This window comes from Homo sapiens, chromosome 3, assembly GCF_000001405.40.
Source record: "Homo sapiens chromosome 3, GRCh38.p14 Primary Assembly".
NCBI classification, from domain to species: domain Eukaryota; kingdom Metazoa; phylum Chordata; class Mammalia; order Primates; family Hominidae; genus Homo; species Homo sapiens.
In genome coordinates, this window is record NC_000003.12 from 118,656,238 (window position 1) to 118,676,411 (window position 20,174).

At 38.6% G+C, this 20,174-nt stretch overlaps 1 long non-coding RNA gene across 1 annotated transcript in view; it reads right to left on the bottom strand.

The window, feature by feature from the left end:
• Positions 1-20,174, bottom strand: part of LOC105374060 (uncharacterized) — a 302,423-nt gene that overhangs the window by 147,827 nt on the left and 134,422 nt on the right. Inside the window, exon 2 of the long non-coding RNA NR_135547.1 lies at positions 6,173-6,253. This is a non-coding gene — a long non-coding RNA (uncharacterized LOC105374060). The remainder of the gene's footprint in view (positions 1-6,172; positions 6,254-20,174) is intronic.

Sequence of the window (20,174 nt, forward strand, 5' to 3'; positions counted from 1 at the left end):
TGTTGAGATAGGTTCCTTCTATCTCCAGTTTTTTGAGGAATTTTATTATGAAGGGATGTCTAATTTTATGAAATGCTTTTTCTAGCATCAATTGAAATGATCATATTATTTTTATCCTTCATTCTGTTGATATGATGTATCACATTCATTGATTTGCATAAGTTGAGCCATCCTTGCATCCCTGGGAGAAATCCTCCTTGGTCATGATGACTAATCTGTCTAATACATTGTTGAATTTGGTTTGCTAGTATTTTGTTGAGAATTTTTGTATTAATATTCATGCAGATATTGAGCTATCATTTTGTTGATGTGTCTTTGTCTGGTTTGGTATCAGAGTAATATTAGCCTCGTAGAATGAGTTTGGAAGTATTCCCTCTTCTATTTTTTGGAATAGTTTGAATTGAATTGCTATTAGTTCTTTAAATGTTTGGTTGAATTCAGCAGCAAAGCCATGAGGTCCCAGGCTTTTCTTTACTGGGAGACTTTTTATTATGGCTTCAATCTCATTATTTGTGATTGGTCTGTTCAGCTTTTGGATTTCTTCCAAGTTCAACCTTGGAAAGTTGTATGTATCTAGGAATTTGTCCATTTCTTCTAGATTCTCCAACTTATTTTCATACAGTTGCTCATAGTAGCCACTATGAATTGGAATGTCTTTTTCATTTCTGATTTTATTTATTTGTATCTTCTCTCTTTTTTTCTTAGTCTGGCTAAAGGTTTGTCACTTTTGTTTAACTTTTCTACAAACAAACTTTTTGTTTCATTGTCCTCTGGATTTTTTTATTTCAGTTTCATTTATTTCTGCCCTGATCTTTTTTCTTTCGTTTCCTCTACTCATTCTGAGTTTGGTTTACTCTTTCTTTTCTAGTTCTTTAAGATGCATTGTTAGATTGTTCATTTGGAGTTTTTCTTCCTAAAATGTAGACACTTATGGCTATAAACTTATCTCTTAATGCTGCTTTTGCTGCATCCCATAGGTTTTGGTATGTTGTGTTTCCATTATCAATTGTTCCAAGAAATTTTTTAATTTGCATCTTAATTTCTTCATTGACACACTGGTCATTCAAGAGCATATTCTTTAATTTCCATGTATTTGTATAGTTTCCAAAATTCCTCTTCTTATTCATTTCTACTTTTATTTCATTGTGGTCAGAGAAGATGCTTGATATTATTTCAATTTTTTTTAATGTTTAAAGACTTGTTTTGTGACCTAACATATGGTCTATCCTTGAGAATGATTTACACGCTGAGAAAAAGGATGTGTATTCTGCAGCTCTTGGATGGAACGTTCTGTAAGTATCTATTAGATCCATGTGGTCTTTAGCGCAGTCTGATGTTTGTTGACATTCTGTCTGGGAGATCCATCTAATGGTGAAAGTTGGGTCTTGAAGTCTCCTACTATTATTGTATGTGGTCCTATCTCTCTCTTCAGCTCTAATAATATTTTATACATATGGGTAATGTACTGAGTCTCATCCGAAGCCAGCAAGTCTCAGAGACTCACTCAAGGCCCTCAACATAGTACCTCGGTATCAATGCTGGATATTCAGGGCCCCAGGGCTCTTCAGTTAGCAGATGATGAATGCTGCCAGGATTGGGTCCTTTCCTTCAAGGCAGTGGGTTCCCTTCTGGCCCAGGATGTGTCTAAAAATCTCATCTGGAATCTAGGGCCTAGAATGAGGCCTCACGACTCTACCTGGTGCCCTATCCTGCTGTGGCTGAGCTGGTATCCAAGATGCAAGACAAAGTCCTCCCCACTCTTCCCCCTCCTCTCCTGAAGCAGAAAAAAATTTGTCTCTTTTGGACCCTCAAGCTCTGCAGCCTAGGGTTAGAGGAGGGGAGATGCCAGCACTCTCTTTGCTGTCCCAGCTGGTGTCTCAGTAGGTCGCATCCCCTTCCCCGCTGTCCACTGTCCACTGTCCACTGTCCACTGCCTCGGGGCCTGGTTCAGTACTAGGACTTGCCTAAGAGTTGCAGTCCTTACGGGCTAGCCTTTCACGTTTACTTGGAGACACAGTGCACTGGAGCCCTCTGTGGCAAGGTTTGCAGGCACTCAAGCTCCAACAATCACTGAGATTTACAATTCCCCTCTGGCTAGGGCTGGTTCCAAAGCTCCCTCCGTGGGCAGGCATCAGCTGAGTTTGTTCGCGTTTTTGCTTCTGCTCTAACAGGATAGCACTGAGTTTAATGCCTCATAATTGCTGTGTTCTTCCTCCCTCAGTGCTCAAAGATGTTCTCTGCACCAAGACTCTGCAATGGGGATTGCAGAGGGTGGGGAGGAGTGGTGTCCATGAGGATTCCGGACTGCTCTTTCCACCTTTTCAGTGCATCTTTCAGTGATATGAAGTTAAAAAGTTAAAAATCAGGTACTATGAATGCTCATCAGGTTTTCTGTTTTTATGAAAGTGTTTCTTCCATGTAGATAGTTGTTTACTTGGTGTCCTTGCGGGGACCGGGCTGGGGACAATTGGTGAAGCCTTCTATTCAGCAATCTTGTTCCATCCTTTCTAATTCCAAGAAGGGGTTTTTGTTTTGTTTTGTTTTAACATGCTCTGCTTTGCTTATCAACTTATAAGAAATATTTTTCCTTTCTCTGTCTAAAGTGCTTTTACATTTTGGAAAGCCCATACTCCTTGTGACCTCTCAAAAAAATTCTTGGCCATCAAAACCCCGTTTTGATACTTCCTATGACGGCCTAAACTCAGGTCCATGCCTTCAAGACATGTACAAGCTAGCTGTAAAGAAAAGACTCACTGGAAACAATGGAGTGAATTGGTTTTAAAGTGGGGATCGAAAGCTATAAATTCTGCTAAAGGCCAAAAGAGAAGGCATTATTGAGACTGGATATTTGGGGAGGCTTTTCCAGAGGAGACAGGAATTTACAGTGGCCTTAAATCATGAAGATTAGAATTAACGGAAAGAGAATTCCAGGAGGGAGAAAATAGGTAAACAATAAGAGGGAAGTGGGAGTGGGCATGGCTCGCAATAAGCACACAGAAGAAAAGAAAAGAGAATGTGTGAAGAGGAGTTGTGTAAGTGTAATGAGGCATTGAAGGGCAGAAGTTTCAGGAATTGTTGCAACGAAAACTTTATAAAATAAGAAAACAATTTCAATAAGTAAAATATATTAGATATTGAACTAAACTCTAGTAAGTTTTGAATTAGATTTCAGAGTAAGGAAGAATGCTTAATGTTGACAATCTCAACCTTGATTTCTGGGCAGCTGGATAGATATGAACACATTTCACAGGGCTACCTTCGAGCATGAAGCAGCATGAAAACAATGATAGTCATAATTAATGTTAAATTTGCTTATTGCCAGGAACATTGCTAACACTTTACATATATTATTTCACTTAATCATCCCAACAACTCTGCAAGACAAACATTATTATATTCTACGTTTTATAATTGAAGATACTGAGGTTCAAGAAAATTAAGGAACTTGGGCCGGGCACGGTGGCTCACGCCTGTAATCCCAGCACTTTGGGAGGCCAAAGCGGGCAGATCACGAGGTCAGGAGATCGAGACCATCGTGGCTAACACAGGGAAACGCCGTCTCTACTAAAAATACAAAAAAAAAAAAAAAAAATTAGCTGGGCGTGGTGGCGGGCGCCTGCAGTCCCAGCTACTCGGGAGGCTGAGGCAGGAGAATGATGTGAACCCAGGAGGCGGAGACTGCAGTGAGCCAAGATAGAGCCACTGCACTCCAGCATGGGCGACAGAGTGAGATTCCATCTCAAAAAAATAAAAATAAAATAAGAAAATTAAGGAACTTGGTCCATAGCCAGGCTGAGATTTGCATGTATGTATACTGTGTCTATGTGTGTACATACACACACACACACACACACAGACATATATATAGAGAGAGAGATTTCATAACACCAGAAATTGTGCTTTTGACTGCTTATACAATATGGATATTTGTCCCTTCTAAATCTCTTGTTGAAATGTGATCCTCAATGTTGGAGGTGGAGCCTGGTGGGAGGGTTAGTGTCATGGGGTGGATCGTTCATGAGTGGCTTGGTGCTTTCCCTGTGGTAATAAATGAGTTTTCACTCTATTAGTTCAGGCAAGAGCTGGTTGTTTAAAAGAGCTTGGTATCCCCCTTCTTTTTTTTCCTCTCTCACCATGTGACATGCCTGTCCCACCTTCGCCTTCTGCCAAGAGTAAAAGCTTCCTGAGGCCTCACAAGAAGCTGAGCAGATGTTGGTGCCATGCTTGTACAGCCTGCAGAACTGTGAGCCAAACAAACCTCTTTTCTTTATAAATTACCCAGTCTCAGGTATTCCTTTATAGGAATGCAAAATGGACTAAACTACTATTCTAACATATATAAGAATTAGTTGGGTTGCATATAGGATAAAAACAAATAGATACAAGTGGTTTTAAAAAGTAGTAAAAGAAGTCCTAAGGCTTCTTTTTGTACCAGGTATCAATCCAACTGGATGTGGGAAAGTAGGTCCAAATATCCCCAAGTTGGGACACAGGAATCCAGGGTGGTGGGTGAAGGGAACAGCTTAGTGTTAAGAGGCCCTAACCAGTTGTTATTTATCAACTAGTGCAAAAATATTTTAGTATTTTAACAACTTGCATGGCCATTCCACTGTGTCCTGGGAAAAAAGTCAGCCCAGCATATGACCCCACTCATCCTTACTACACAGTCCCCTGGATTCCCACTGGTAGCTAAATACATGCAACACCACAAGTGAGACAAGCAGAGCACCAGCTGGATTAAAGGGTCCTTGTTTATTCTCCACTGCATGACCATCTGTCTCACACCTGGCAAGGAAAAGGTGGAAACGAGAGAAAGAGGAAGAGGAAGATAAGTTAGAAAGAATAGAGTAATTGATTGTTTTATTTGATCTTAAAACAAGTCAACCAGAACGTACCTCCTCTAGTTCCTAGCAGGCTGCAATTCCATATAAGAATAAACTTAGTGAGATGGTGATAATGTCACTAGAAGAGTTGCTTAAGCAGAAAAGGTTATGTTACATGGAAGTTAAAAGTGAGATGTGCTGTGAGTAGATGTGCTCAGAGTAAAAAATCAGTTCTTGCAAAATCAACAGTTGAATTATACGCATTGCATTTTAAAGGTAAAGTATTAATAAATTCATATAATGAAAAGAGTAAAAAATAAATTCAAATTCTCAGACCAAGCCACCATTCTTCAAACTTTGAAAAATGTAGACTGGTTTTTATTGCAATTATTTTAAATCTCAACAATACTTTCTGGAAAAGTGAAGGCTTTAGGCAGTAACATTCTAATAGCACAAATAAAATCTTTTCTCATGAGATTTTAAGTTCAACATGCAGGGTAAGAATTTTTTACAATTGCATTGATCATTTGAACTCTAGGGCTCCTGAACCTGAGGGCACATATTTTGCTCCTCATTAACTAGAAAAAAGTAAGGATGGTATACCACTTATTTTAAAAGCTATTTTCTGAAGATGGAATATGAAAAACATGGTCATTTTCCTCAATTTGGACATGATTTCTTCTATTTTCATGTAATTTCATAAAATGATTATTTTAAATGGTTCTGCTTTTAGTCATAACCTTGTAAGGGGGTAAAGCAGTGTGGGAGGGGACTTGAAAATGTTAAACTTTTATGTTGAACTGGACTTCCAACTGAAGGTTACAGCTGGGTGTTGAAAATGACATCATAATCCCTTTGATGACCCATATGGATCTCATTGGTAATAATCTGTATTGACCACTAGAATGGTTTTGTTTATAGAATTATTTACTAGCCTTCTATTTTCTCTTTTGAAGAAATAGTTTTCAGAGCCCTCAGCTAAATAGGGGTTCCAGTATCAGAGCTGTGAGCAACGCTGCTTTAATGGGAAATAAAGGGGAGCTGAACTTGGGCGTTTACAGTGTGCCTTTCACAGGATCTTTCTTTTGCCTGGCAGACAGTCTAATGGCTAGTTGTTCAACTTGTGACCAGATAGTTTCTCACACTGGCAGACATCCCTGTGGCTCTCGTCTGACCCATGTCCAGTTTATGCCTGCCTGACCATTGCTCCAGCGCTGGGAGGCCAACCCTGTGTTCTTCCCAGCATCCTGAAGAAAACCTGGTCTAGGGTAGTCCCTATTTCTTCAGATGGAAAATATAAATTCAGTACACCACCAGAACAGGAAACAAGTTGAAAGATTTTTACTTACAGCTCCTGGGCAAAGAGGATAATGAGTTGGGAGGGCAGTCCTCCATCCCTGGGTCACACAAGGCAGGAATGAAGAGTCAGGCTGAGAGAGAAGGAGAAAAAAAAAGAGAGAGAGTGAAGCATGCAATGACTAGCAGTATTTCTAAGGAATTAGACTGTGGGTCACTTTAAGTTTGAGGGCAGATGCCTAGTGGTTCATTTAAAGGAAGCAGGAAAGCAGACAGCCCCATCTGCTAGGCAGGAGAGATGCCTCTAAGTTCTTCTTTCCAGCCACTGGCTTGAGCCAGCCAGTGGCTGTGGCGTACAGCTGGAAGCTGTGTCCAGGGTGATTGAGCCTTGCTTCTGATATGAGAAAATTAGGGTACTGAGGCAACATAAAATTATAAAAATTCCCTATGGAGACTTTTTTGAAATTTTTTTTTACTATTTGGAAAATCATCCACAAGAGCTACCTGTGGACTTTATTTTCAGTGTCTTTGGAATGCCAAACACAGGGTGAGGTGTCATATATTTAGAAATAAGACCCAGATTTTTCCCTCAAATTCCTTACAATCTAGCTTTTCTTCCTCTGTATTTCATACCTCCCCCTTTCCAGTCATTGTACTAAAAACAAGGAATATTTCCCAGCCACTCCTGCCTTCTCGAAGAAACCTCTTTCCACAGCCTTGCTTTTAAGATGTTCTGTTTTCACCATCTATCCATGCTGATTGGACAACTGGCCCTTGTTGAGCTTAAGTGTCTTTCTCCTGGAAAATGGAAAATGGGAGCTCAAAACAGTAAGCCTAGTGGCACTTGCTTGGAATGAGAATACCAATGAATCAGGATGTTGGCTATATCACTCTGAAGCAGAAATAGCTGGTCTGCCAACACGGACACGCAAAGAGATGCAACAACATGAAACTAGAAAGTTCAAGAGCAATGAGGCCAAGGTGCTCAGAACTGACTTTCCAGTTTATATGTTCCACTCCCTCAGGAGGACACACTTCCTGCTACAGGACTCTGTGGGATGGAGATCCACAGTGCCGCTGGACCTTCTCAACATATTTTCTCTTTTCACTTTACATTGGATTGAGTAAGTTTCTATTCCTTAACCAAATAGCCCTTGTCTAAAACATAACTTGTGGACTTAAGATTATAAAAGAAAATAAATTCCAGCAAGAAAAGTCAAAAAGAGCATTTAATCAGGAGGGTACAGACATCTGAATTTTAGTTCAGCTTTTTCCCCTAACACCACGATAGTAATCACATGATCCAGATTTTCTAGGAGAATCATGATATTTAAAAATCTCATTTCACTGATAAAAGAACAATATTGTAAAAACACATGTAGGCAGTGGTGTGTCGGTAAATGTTTAACAATCAACTCTCTGGCAAAGAAAGCCATGCCCTAATATTTAGCCTTGGCCAATTTCCATGGTATAAATACTTCTATGGTGGCCAATTTCAAGCAACTAACCTGATGTCACTGAACACTGAGTTTGGAAGAGATGCTAACAATCATCACTCATGAGCCAGTACAAGATGGCTCCAGCACACCACTGTGTGAGGCACAAGTTTTAGAACGAGAAAGAGTCCGGTTTACAACTTACCTTTGCTCCATTATTATGCATAAAGTGGATTTCTGTCTGTGCCTCCATTATATATAGAGTTAGAATAAAAAATGACCACATAGAGGGTTGTTGAAAGGATCAAATAAGATGATATGTACCTTACGTAATGCCTGGCGATGTGTATGTTCAACTAACAGCAGTGATTATTGTTGCTGTGTTTGTTGTTGTCACTACTCCTGTTACTATGAGTATTATTGTCAGATTATGGGTCTCAGTTTTGGATTGAAAAATACAGTCCCCATAATTATTATCAATTTCCTGAATAACCTTAAATAAATTACCTGATTTTTGTGTAAGTCAATATCCTCATCTCTAAAATGAAGTTCTAAGGAAAGTCACTATAGTATTTTTCCTTCAAATCCTATGAAGACATAAGAGTGGAGCTATGTGAGAGACAGATTTGGGTGCACAGGAAAAGGGAAGGAAAATGGCAGGGTCCCCCTCTAAAATCAAACCCTCAGGAAGTAAAGCCGTCAAGTGTGATATCCAAGAATGTCTCTCTGCCTCCAGTACCTTCAGAAGTACACAAACTGCAACATTAGGCAAAGGTTTAGCCCATGCCATTTTTTCTTTCTTTCTTTCTTTTTGAGACAAGGTCTTACTCTGTCGCTACCCAGGCTGGAGTGCAGTGGTGTGACCATGGCTTACTACAACCTGGACCACCTAGACTCAAGCAATTCTCCCTCCTCTGCCTCCCAAGTAGCTGAGACCATAGATGCATGGGCAACTGCACCCGGCTAATTTTTTAATTTTTGTAGAGATGAGGTCTCACTGGTCTCAAACTCCCAGCCTCAAACTATCCTCCCACCTTAGCCTCCCAAAGTGCTGGGATTACAGGCATGAGCCATTACGCCTGGCCTCAGTCCCTGCTTTTAATGGAGTATCTCAATGGCTTAATTAGGAGTAAGAAGATAGGTTGAAATGAAAAGCAGAGAACATACAAAGAAAATGCTAAAGTGCCTTCTCTTTGCCATTATTAAATTGAATTAAGTTTGGCCTAAAGCAGCACCTCTACATATTTAAGTATGGCCAAAGGTTTCTCAGTATATAATGAACTGTTACATAATGTGATATGTAAATAGTCTGTAACCTACTCTTATCACAAGCAACCAAGCCTCAGCCCATCACAGCAGCCAAGTTTCAGCCAATCACAGGCTGCCAACTGTTAAAATCGTGTTCAAATAAGGCAAACACCTGTTCAAGTAAGGCAAAAACCAATCCAGCTATTTCTGTTATTTTTTTGTCCATAAATGTTATCCAACCCTGTAGCAACCCTGGAGTCACTTAAAACTTTTTATGGTTCTGGGAGCTGACTGATTTGCAAATTGTTCTTTACTCAATTAAACTCTGTTAAATTTAAGTCATCTGAAGTTCTTCTTTTAATGTTATTTTACCCCCAACAGCAAAATAAACATGTTAGACTAGGGCTAGTAACTACCTCAAGAACTCGGACCCTTTTACTTGGTGCCCTGAGAATATGATGTGATCAACCTCAAGCTACTTTCTCTCCTTACTTTCTATTCCCCCAACACACACACACACACACACACACACACACACACACACACACACACACCCTTAGTTCACATGTGACGTGTATACAAAAAACAAGAGTCTGGTCAAATGGCAAATTTATCTGCTTGCTGGGTAGGGGCAGGGCACTGATTTTAAGTGAAGACTTAAAATCGGTTCACTCTAAACGATAAAAGTAAAACCAACTCAGTTTCTTTTTCAGTGAAAGAGAGAAACACACTAGAGGAAACGTGGGAATTAGAAGTTGGGGCCCAAAGAGAAGAAGCACTAACCTGAGAGAAAGGGAAAGTATACAGAAAAGAAAGTGGTTTTTAATAAGAAAGAGCAAAGAGGTGGTCAAATAAGAAACAAATGAGAAGAGGGAAGAGATTATAAATTATGAGAGGAGGGATGTGGAGAATGGAGAAAATGGATGAGAAGAGGAATTAACGATGAAAGAATTTTTTTGTTGCACTTTTAAAATCACAGCATCAAAGATTTCCCAAGCTCCAACAGGGCAATATGAGTTTGTGTATAGGTAGCAATCCTGAACGCTGTCTTCGGTAAAGACTGAAAAGGTGCTAGGACACACCCTTTTTTTAATAACATTTACATTCAAATAAACCTAGAAGGCAGGAGAAGGGCAAGCTGCCTGCTGTATCCCATTTACAATCCTGAAACAGAAGAGCCAAGTACCCAGAATATTCTGGACAGATTAATCTTGGCCGAGGTCTACATAAAGATGAAAAAATGCAAAATTAAAGTGATTCTGTCACTTAAAATAAAGAGTAATTACTTATGGGAGGAAGGAAACCAAATAAAGTGGCAAAGAAATTCTCTGATTTAGTGAAATTCATAGAAATGAAAAGATTTTCTATCAGATCTGTTATATGAGCTGTAATTCTCTAAGACTGCAGACACGGGATTTGATTGGGACCCTTGATCAACTCTTGTTAAGGTTGTTGCACCTTCTTATCATTGCTAGCACAAAATAAAATGTCCACTTCCTGACACAGGCATATTGCACCATAAAGAAACACAGTCAACCTGTTTGAAATCAGGCTCTAGATTTAGCACCGTATGATTTGAGCCCCAACTAAACTTATCTTTGGGGTCTGAAAAGTAATATTTGTTTACTGCTTAAAACACACCATTTGCGAATGAAATTATCATCCCTGAATCACAACGCTATAAAAATGTTCTCTGGGTAAAATCAAATGAAGAATTAAGTTCTTTTGCAGTGAACCTGGGACTATCCTTACAGTCAATTTAACTACTTGGATGGAGTGAGAAGGCACACACTTAAATACAGTTAAAATTAAAGCTATCTTTTGCCTGAGTTATCTGCAAATACTCAGCAACTGGGGTTTAGCTTTTACTTCCTACTCTGCTATGACTACAGGGACCTATAGAATTTTCCAGCCTAAGCTTAAATCATAACATGGATAAGTAACAGCTAGATGATAACATAAGAATTAAAGAAATAGAAGTCAGAAAATCAGGGGCAAGAGAAATGAAAGTGTGAAGGACATCTCTTTCATGATAGCCTATAAATCTGTTCACTCAACACATCTGGCAAGTGAACTAGGCTTTCAGAAAACATGAAAATGAAGAAGGGTTTCTTCCTTCTTCCTTTCAAATCAGATTACAATGTGCATACAAAAGGACCTGCAAATAGAAATAAGAAAATTCCATTAATGTGATAATGATATTCTGAATGACCTGAACAAACAAAGGAGATTGGAACTTTGGAAGTAATTTGTCGATCATTTCCTCTTCCACATTTCGTGAGCTCCTGACTTAAAGGGTTTTAGAAAATGCTGCCGTGTCTCTGCTAGGCCAGCTTTGTTCCATCTGCCAGAGAATGCCTACAGGAAAAATTAATTCAATAAAACATGATTTCCATTGTGATGTTAGATTGTTTTTACTTTCCATTAATTAAAATAGATATATATTTATATTTATATAAAATAAGAGGCAGCCTCAGCCACACTGTATGCATGCTAGAATACATGTGAACTGAAGGGCACTGGGAGACATGACTATAACTTGATCTTTCTAATGTTCATGTTCTGTGTAAAATATACCCATGGACCATGGCAAAGCCACCAATAAAATGCTCAAGTACTTGGGCAGTAAAGAGGTGATGTGAAATTATTAACAACTTTGTTTGCATGAGACTCTAAATTTCCATCTCATCTCCCCACCCGACCCTTTCTGCCATCACTGCTTGGCACCATAATAGGCCAGAATTGTGTTCAGTGTGTATATTTGCCTGAAATGGCCCAGAATAAAAGGAGTCAGTAGGTAAATCCAAGGTCTTTACCAAGGATCAATAGGCAAATGAGGAGTACTGACTTGTGTCTTCGTGTCCAGAAGGCCCATCTGAAAGTTGGAACAGATAACAAGACTCAGAAAGAGAAGCTGGTAAACACTGGAATGGTGGAGTGGGTAACAGCAGGAGTAAAGTGAGAAGGCTCAGGAGTAGCAGAGCAAGGACAGGTGTAAAGGTTCCTTTTTCTTTGACCTGGACCCCATGGGGCAGGAAGCCTGGTGTGCACACAGATTTGGGGTGAAGTTTCCTAGCAGGGAAGAATGTACCAAGGAGAAAGCAGTCAGTTAAATAAGATGATGTGGTAAGCACAGTGCAGATGTTAGGTATTGTTAGTAGGTGGGTGGGAGTGCAGTGGGAAAGGTCTGATGTGAGAGCACAGGCCAGGAAGATCGGGCTCTGTGTGAGTTGTCCTGGACGTCTGGAGATAGAGGATCTCTCACCTGGTCAAGCCACAGACAGACTCAGCACTGAACACCAGAGCAGAAGCCACACAGGAGCCAGTGTTGCACAAGGGCTTACAACCCCCACTTTCAGGAAAGACTTCTGCATTTGAAACCTGGATCTGACATTTGCAGCTCTGTGACCTTGGGTAAGTAACTCAAGCCTCATTGTCCAAGCAATAATAGTAGTACTTACATGGATGGGTTCTTGTGAAGATGAAATGAATTGCACAAATAAATGATAATATATAAGGTAATGGATATTTTAATTAACTTGATTTAGCCATTCTACAATTTACACATTTTTAAAACATCATGTTGTATACCATATATATATATACACACACACAATTTTTATTTGTCAATTAAAAGTAAATAAAACAGAATTATGCCAAAAATATTAAATTAGTAAATATAAAGTACTTAGAACAGTGCCTAGTACATAGTGAGCAATCAACATTAGCTATTATAATCGCTTATTAATATACTTGATACTATTTTGTAAAAGATAGAAAAGCAGAAGCTCCTATACACAGAAGCTACTCTTTTATATTACAATGGCTAAAAATATTTTTTTGCTTTCTGTCTTGGAGCAGACATTCTACTTCTCTACTTTTTTTCTTGGTAATTTTATTTTAATAAACTAGAATTTCTCAATTCAAAATAATTTCTAAATGTTAAATTTCAATGTATAAGTCAAGCTTTAGAAATCATATTATGCTGTATTGTCGATTTATTTTTGAAACAATTACATATCTATTTTAAAGACACAAATCTTTTGTACTAAAATATTGTTTTAAATGTTACTGTGGGTGCATTTAGTCCATGGACCTTGAAAAACAAAGTATTACAAAGGATGTCTTCCTAGCATCACCTGCTCTCATTCAGAAGGAAGGCAGTCTCTTCCTTAAACATAGGGATGACCTCCTTAAGTGGTTTTTTTAACCAATCTGTGAGTTAGCCTTCTGCAATATTCCTATAGGTGGGTCATGAAACATAGGAACCAGCCGTTTTTTTTCCAGCCCGACTCAAAATTGGAGCTAAAGCAGGGTCACTAGCAAAGGGCTGCTGCATCTGTTACCAGGCCCTGTTCCCAGACAATCTGTATTTGGATCAGCCCTCCAAGTGATTTTGCTGCACGCTTGAGTTTAAGAAACACTGACCCACAGAAGCTAGACCACAACCTGATTCTTCATCTCCATGAGTAAGGAACTTGTCTAAGGTCAGATAGGTGAAAGGTGGGAGAGCCGAGTGCACTGACCCATTCTTCCCAGTACACCATGCTGCTTCACCCTTCTGTATACTACCTTCAGAAAAAAAAAGAAAAGGCCTTGAAAATTACACTATGGAAAGAGTATCAAACTCCATTTTAAAAGCATTTATAGTAAAAATGGCAATTGTCTCAGCTTTCTACAACCTAACATATTTTGACTCCCATATCAACTAATCGAATATTTCTTCAGAAGTATTTCCAATGCATAAAACTACCAGATACAATCTGCCTTCTCCTAAGAAAACTCAATACATAAAAACCTGCTTACAAAACAGATAAATCAGAGTTTTAACTCTACAAAAGAATTTGCCACCTAATATTTTCTTTAAAAAAAACTAGTCTCGATACATTTGCACAGTGATTCATTTCACAAAATTGTAATATACCTGAAAAATTTAGGAGGCATATCAACCAAGATTGTGTTCAGTCTCTTATAGAATTGGATCATTCATAATCTTTCTCATTAATTCTCTGTGGTTGTGTTCGTCATTTTGCAAAAATGAAAATTCCACTTCAAATTTCCAGGAGACGCTAAGAGTCACCCCAATCTCTTAGGGCAGGGTTCTGAAGACTAAAATGTATCACAAAAAGGAATTTTTAAAACACAGATTGCTGTGCCATACCCCCAGGATTTCTAATTCAGTAGGTCTGGGGTGGACCCAAGATTTTATATTATAAATGAGTGTGATGGATCTCACTTTTAGAATCACTATTTAAGGAAGTTCCAGGGTAGACATGAACAAAAATTTTCCTCCAATAGTCCTCCTCAGTTTTCAAGCTGTGTTAAGATACATTCTACTGACACCTGCTGATTATGATGATTCAAGACATAGTTCTTTCTACAAATATACACTTTATAAGCCCTTATCACCACCCAACAGGAGATCAACTCAGACATGAATTCAGGAACAATAGCAAAGCCGGACTACTAGCACCTGGTAAATATGGAGATTAAAAGAGTTGCAAGAAGTATCCTCAACAACAGGGAAATGAGTAGCTTTTCCTGTTGTTGTTGGAAATTTTAGAGTGGTTACATTGGGCAACCTATTCCCATTAAGTTTGAGAAGGTTAAGATATTGAGGTCACTACTTTAGCTATCAGTACTCTAATGAGGAGAATTTCCACAAAGCTATACAATTTTAAAAGAAATGCTGTAAATCTCTTATTAAACCAAACAAGTATCATGTTTATTGAGTACTTACTATATTTCATATATTATCTCACTTCATCTGCATGATACCCCTGCTCCATAAATAGTATTAAGTCTATTTTGCAAATGCAACCAAAAAGACTGAATAGAGTTATCCCAGGTAGCACAGTTCATAAATGGCAGGGCCGGGATTTAAATCCAGGTTGTGGGACCCTAGAGCACAGGATCGTTTTTTCACTCCATGTTAACCAGCATATAAAATAAGGCTTCAGTTTTCCCATTCATTGGAGAATAAATAGTTCCTGAGTGCAGACCAGAGCGGTTTCTTTGTTGTTCACCTTCTATGGGTGTTGATGGTGCATCAGTTTTCTATTGCTGCATAACAAATTACAATAAACCTAGAGACTTAAAGCAATACTCAATTATTAGCTCACAGTTCTATACACCAGAAATCCAGGCAGGATCTACTGGGTTCTCTGCTCAATGTATCACAGTCCTAGAATCAAAGTATCAGCTGGGCTGGGCTGTCTGGACACTCAGGAACAATTGCTTTCAAGCTCGTTTATGTTGTGGGCAGAATCCAAGTTCCTTGGGATTGCAGTATTGAGCTCCCCATTTCCTTGCTGGCTGTCAGCTGGAGGCCATTCACAGCCTCTGGGGCCCTCTCCATTTCTTGTCACATGGCTCCCTCCATCTTCCACCCAGCAACAGTGCATAAAATCCTTCTTGTGCTTATATCTCTTTGACTTGCTGTTTTCCTCCTAGCCAGAAAACACTCTCTCATTTTACAGGTGTTACTTGTTCGGGTCAGGCCCACCCAGATAATCTCTGTACCTTAAGGTCAACTGACTTGGGACTCTAATCACATCTGCAAAGTCCCTTTACAGCAGTACCTAGGTTACTGCTTGATTACATTAATATTAGATTGAATAATTGGGGAGAGGAATCTCATAGGGAGGAACAGCTATACGTACAGGCACACCGTCGTGTCTAAACAGGCAACTCAAGGACGGTTTTCCCATCTCAGAGAACATCTTGAGGTTGTCCCTGCTCCCTCCGTGCATCTCAGCCCTTGGCAAGTGTTGCTCCTGAGGAGAAATCCTAGTCTGAGGAGAGCCCAGGATTCACTAACTCTCATGGACCCTATCCTGATTCTAACTTCAGAATCCGCCAATAAAGCAAATGTCCAGGCTATTGAAGAAAATTATTTTCTCATAGATCATTTCCTGAGTGTCCATTTTACCTATTTGTTTTGTGTGTGGATATAATCTTATCTCATACTACATGGGGAGATCCTTCATGAAAAGAGCTGTATCTTAAACAACTTTGCACTCACAAAAGTGCCTAGCACAATTCCTGAAATTCAGAAGATATTCAGTACATGCTTGATAAATTGAGTTAGTTATTTGACATTAATTAGATTGTCAGCAACATTGCTTACTACTCATTAGGAGTTCAATACATTTTATTTTCCTTTCCTTTACATCTGGATTAAAAACTAAAGAAGTCTTCCCTTCTTCTAAACAATCAAAACCTATAGACATTGTAAGTACAGTCATTTATGGCATATGATGAGTGCTTTGTAACTGTAAAGGAAAGAGATGGCCATATAATAGTGTTTCCTTTACAGCTAATGTATAGCAATCTTTAGGATTATAAGCTTAAAACTTTGAAAGGACAGCTCAGTTATTTGTCTTAAATGCAGAAAAAATAGAACTTAGCGATTTTCTTGACAAGGAACTTAAATCATTTAGATGAAAACCAGAAAATTCTACCCATTAAGACTATTAAATAGTTTGGGGGTCTAAAGTCCACAAAGAACCTCCTGGATATTAGAGAGGAAAACTGATTTGAGATGTGGCATATCTCTTGGGAGCAACAATTTCTTGTGAATAAAGTCTCATAAAGGTAAACTCAAGCATCCTATAATAAATCGAATAGTTTATTAGGCTTTCAAAAATTCTCTATGGTGTATATGAAAGTGTACTTGCTGTTCTGCAGGGAGCTGGAAAGCAACATAGTGCAGTGGCCTTGGAACCAAGAGCGACCTAGAACATAAATCCCCACTCTGCTGATTACTAGCCAGTAGGCTGTAGCCAGGGAACTTCAGACTTCAGGACATTGGTTTCATCATCTACAAAATAGGTATAATAACACTTAATCCTTTAAAATTGTAAAACTTAAAGATAATGAAAATAAGTCATGTGACACAGTACTTCGATAAATAGTAGCTGCAATTTTTATTTGCAAAGTCAGATACCTATCCGCAGTTCATAAAAAACACTCCATAAATGTTAACTACAAATATTTGTGAGTTTTCTCTTTCCAAGTCCTGGGTTTAGACATCATTTTCCTCCATATCCACTTAAAATCCCTCAAACTCCTTTTTTTTTTTTTTTTTTTTTTTTTTTTTTTTTTTTTTTTTTTTGAGACGGAGTCTTGCTCTGTCACCCAGGCTGGAGTGCAGTGGCGTGATCTCGGCTCACTGCAATCTCCGCCTCCCGGGTTCACGCCGTTCTCCCACGTCAGCTTCCCTAGTAGCTGGGACTACAGGCGCCCGCCACCACGCCCAGCTAATTTTGTTTTTGTATTTTTAGTAGAGATGGGGTTTCACTGTGTTAGCCAGGATGGTCTCTATCTGCTGACCTTGTGATCCGCCCACCTCGGCCTCCCAAAGTGCTGGGATTATAGGCGTGAGCCACCGCGCCAGGCCTCAAACTTCCTAACTCAAAGAAATCATCAGTAGTGATGGTGGCGCAACATGCTCTCTGTGCGCTGTGTGTTAATGCTGCGTTAGACTAGAGACAATGCGAGGACACTTGTCGCAGGGCCTTTCTGTCTCACGTTGGTATTCAACGCATGTGTAAGAATAATAATGGTCATCAGGATCACTGCATACATATTCTACATAAAAGAAAAATCCAATTGGTGTTACAGAGCTCCTAGTCTTAGAATCTCTTTCTGCTTCAGCTGATATATAGTGTAAATCTAAAACTTATTTAAAAACATGTCTGGGTAAGACAGCTTTTAATTAATCTTCTCTTAGTTTTTATACTATATGGTACCTGGAAGATGCAAGATCAATCACCACTGTATTGTAATGTCGAGTTGTGAGACAGAAAGATAAATGAGCTATCAAACTTAGCATTTTGATAGCTAAGTTAATTTAACTAGCTTCAGAACATACTCTAGATTGGTGGATAAAGTTGTGAGCTGAGGCGTTGAATGTTATAACCATGCATGTGGTATGTTTTTAAGAAAACAAAAATTTGCTAGTTACTATCTGTCCTTCACAGGCATTTAAATCCAGGATTAGAGAGGTGTAGCTGGGTGATAAGGTCATATTGCTAGTTCTGTCAGGCCAATTAAGACAGCTTTATTAACTCAGACTTTTAATTGAGCACTTGTGACAAGGTCTGGGCTGATCTGAAGTTTCCCTCAGCTGGATGCATGAGTAAAAGGTTGGGCAAGCAAATTAAACTTAATTTATGCTTAACAGTAGACCTGAGTAGACTTTGATTTTTTCTAATAGGACATAAGAAGATTTTTTAAATTATAATTGTATTTCAAAATGTGTTTTCTCAACTATAGGAATATTGAGCAGATTCTCATCCTTGAGGGAGAGGGTACCCCCCCCATCCCTGGGATATCCATTTACACAATGATATTTCAATCAGAAAGAAGAATAAGAATAAAACTACCAGCCTGGCTCGTCAAAACTACCAGTCTAAATTGTAATAAAACTTCAAACAAAAGAAAAATGCTTCAGAAGTCATTGGAGAGGTATTTAGATATGTTAATCACAGCTATTAAGAAATACCAGCTTTGGAATGTCACATCTATTCAAATAAGCAACAGTAAATGAAGCCGTTTTGAAAGGTTTTCTCTCTCTTAAAAGATAATAAAATCAAATTGCTATGAGGTGGAAAACCACCCTCTACCCAACTCCCATACTCACCTATCCCCAACCTAATCTATACCAGACCACTGTTTCCCATTTCTTCCATTGATGTGCTCATTAACTCTTTTCTAAACATGCATTAAACACACAGTACATATAGGCCAGGTCCTTTGCTCTGTTTTAGAATCCTAGTTATTAGCAAGTCACAATTTATGTCTTCAAGAAGTCACAGAGAAAAGTACAGTTAATTACAAAATGGTACACATGGTGGTTAATTTTATGTGTCAACTTGACTGGGTCACGAAATCCCCAGACTATCTAAGTAAGCATTCTAGGTGTCTCTATGAGAGTGTTTCTGGATGAGATTAACATTTGAATCCATAAAATGAGTAAAGCAGATTGCCCCCCCAACTCTACTTCCCATGTGGGTGGGCTTCATCCAGTCTGTTGAAGGCCCAAATGGACAAAAAGGTAGAGTAAGAGAGAATTCTCTTTCTCTGCCTGACTGTCTTCAAGCAGAAACATCAGTCTTCTCCTGTCTTCGGACTCTCTCCTGGGTCCCCAGTTTGCCAACTGCAAATCTTGGGACTTCTCAGCCTCCATAATCATGTAAGACAATTCCCTATAATCAGTCTCCTTATATACAGAAATATATAATATCTTACTGTTTCTGTTTCTCTGGAGAATTCACACTAATACTGTAGGATAGGTGAAAATGGGAACAAAGGCACCCATGGGTTTTATAGTTGCCACCTCAGAATATCTTGTAATTCACATAATACTTATTTGTTTGTCCAGAGCCTTACCTCACTGACATAGACACTTGGCTTTAGAAATCAATTCAAAGACTCACTCACTTCTCATATTCTACCCTAAGAACTTTCTGACCTCAACCGATAAACCACAAAAAACATTACTTCCCTAACATTTCACCATTTCAAAGTTGTTCTATGTGGTACTCTCTTTTGTTACAGTACGTCAGTGAATTTCAGTTTGCTTCTATCATAACAGGTTTCTTTAAAGAGAAGACTTTCTTTATATGTTTTAGGGTAGGGAGAATTATTTTCACAAATCTGTGGATGCTTAGAGATCAAAGTTACCTTCAAAGCATCGTAATGTAACTCTCAAAATTTCCTGTCCTATTTAAAGGTAAAGTGATTCACCTAAAGTCTTCCAGCTAGTTGCTGGCATAGCCAGGCAAGAACCCAAATCTTGAGATTCCCTTGCTTTCACATCAAAGATATTTAGAAAAAAAATTCTTCAAAGATATTGTCAACTTTGAACAAATCTCTGATTCATTAAACAAATCTTTCTATCTGCTCTTTTACAAAAAAATTTTGTTGTTTTTGAAAGTCCTGCCAGGTAAAGGGTTTATTAATTAACTTACACACACACATATACACACTTGCACGTCCATATAATTTTTTTCCTTTTCTGGGGGTGGTGGGAAAGAACCTCTATATTTGAATATAGATACATATACATGTGTATGTGTGTGTGTGTGCAAATATTATAATAAATTTACATAAAGGTTGTATAAAAGTAGACATCCATATAATGTTTAAAAATTGTTTTTCTACTTTTATTAGTGAGTAAAAGCTTTAACTTTTAGTTCTAAAATTTAAAATCTAAGCGGCCTAGAAAATAGGCATCACCCTGACAGGCAGAAGAGGATAATAGTTAAGAACATGGGATTTGACATTAGCCACACCCAAGTTCAAACCCCAGCTCTGCTACCTGAAAGATAATTCTTGGAGCTCTTTGTAACTATAACCACTTAAT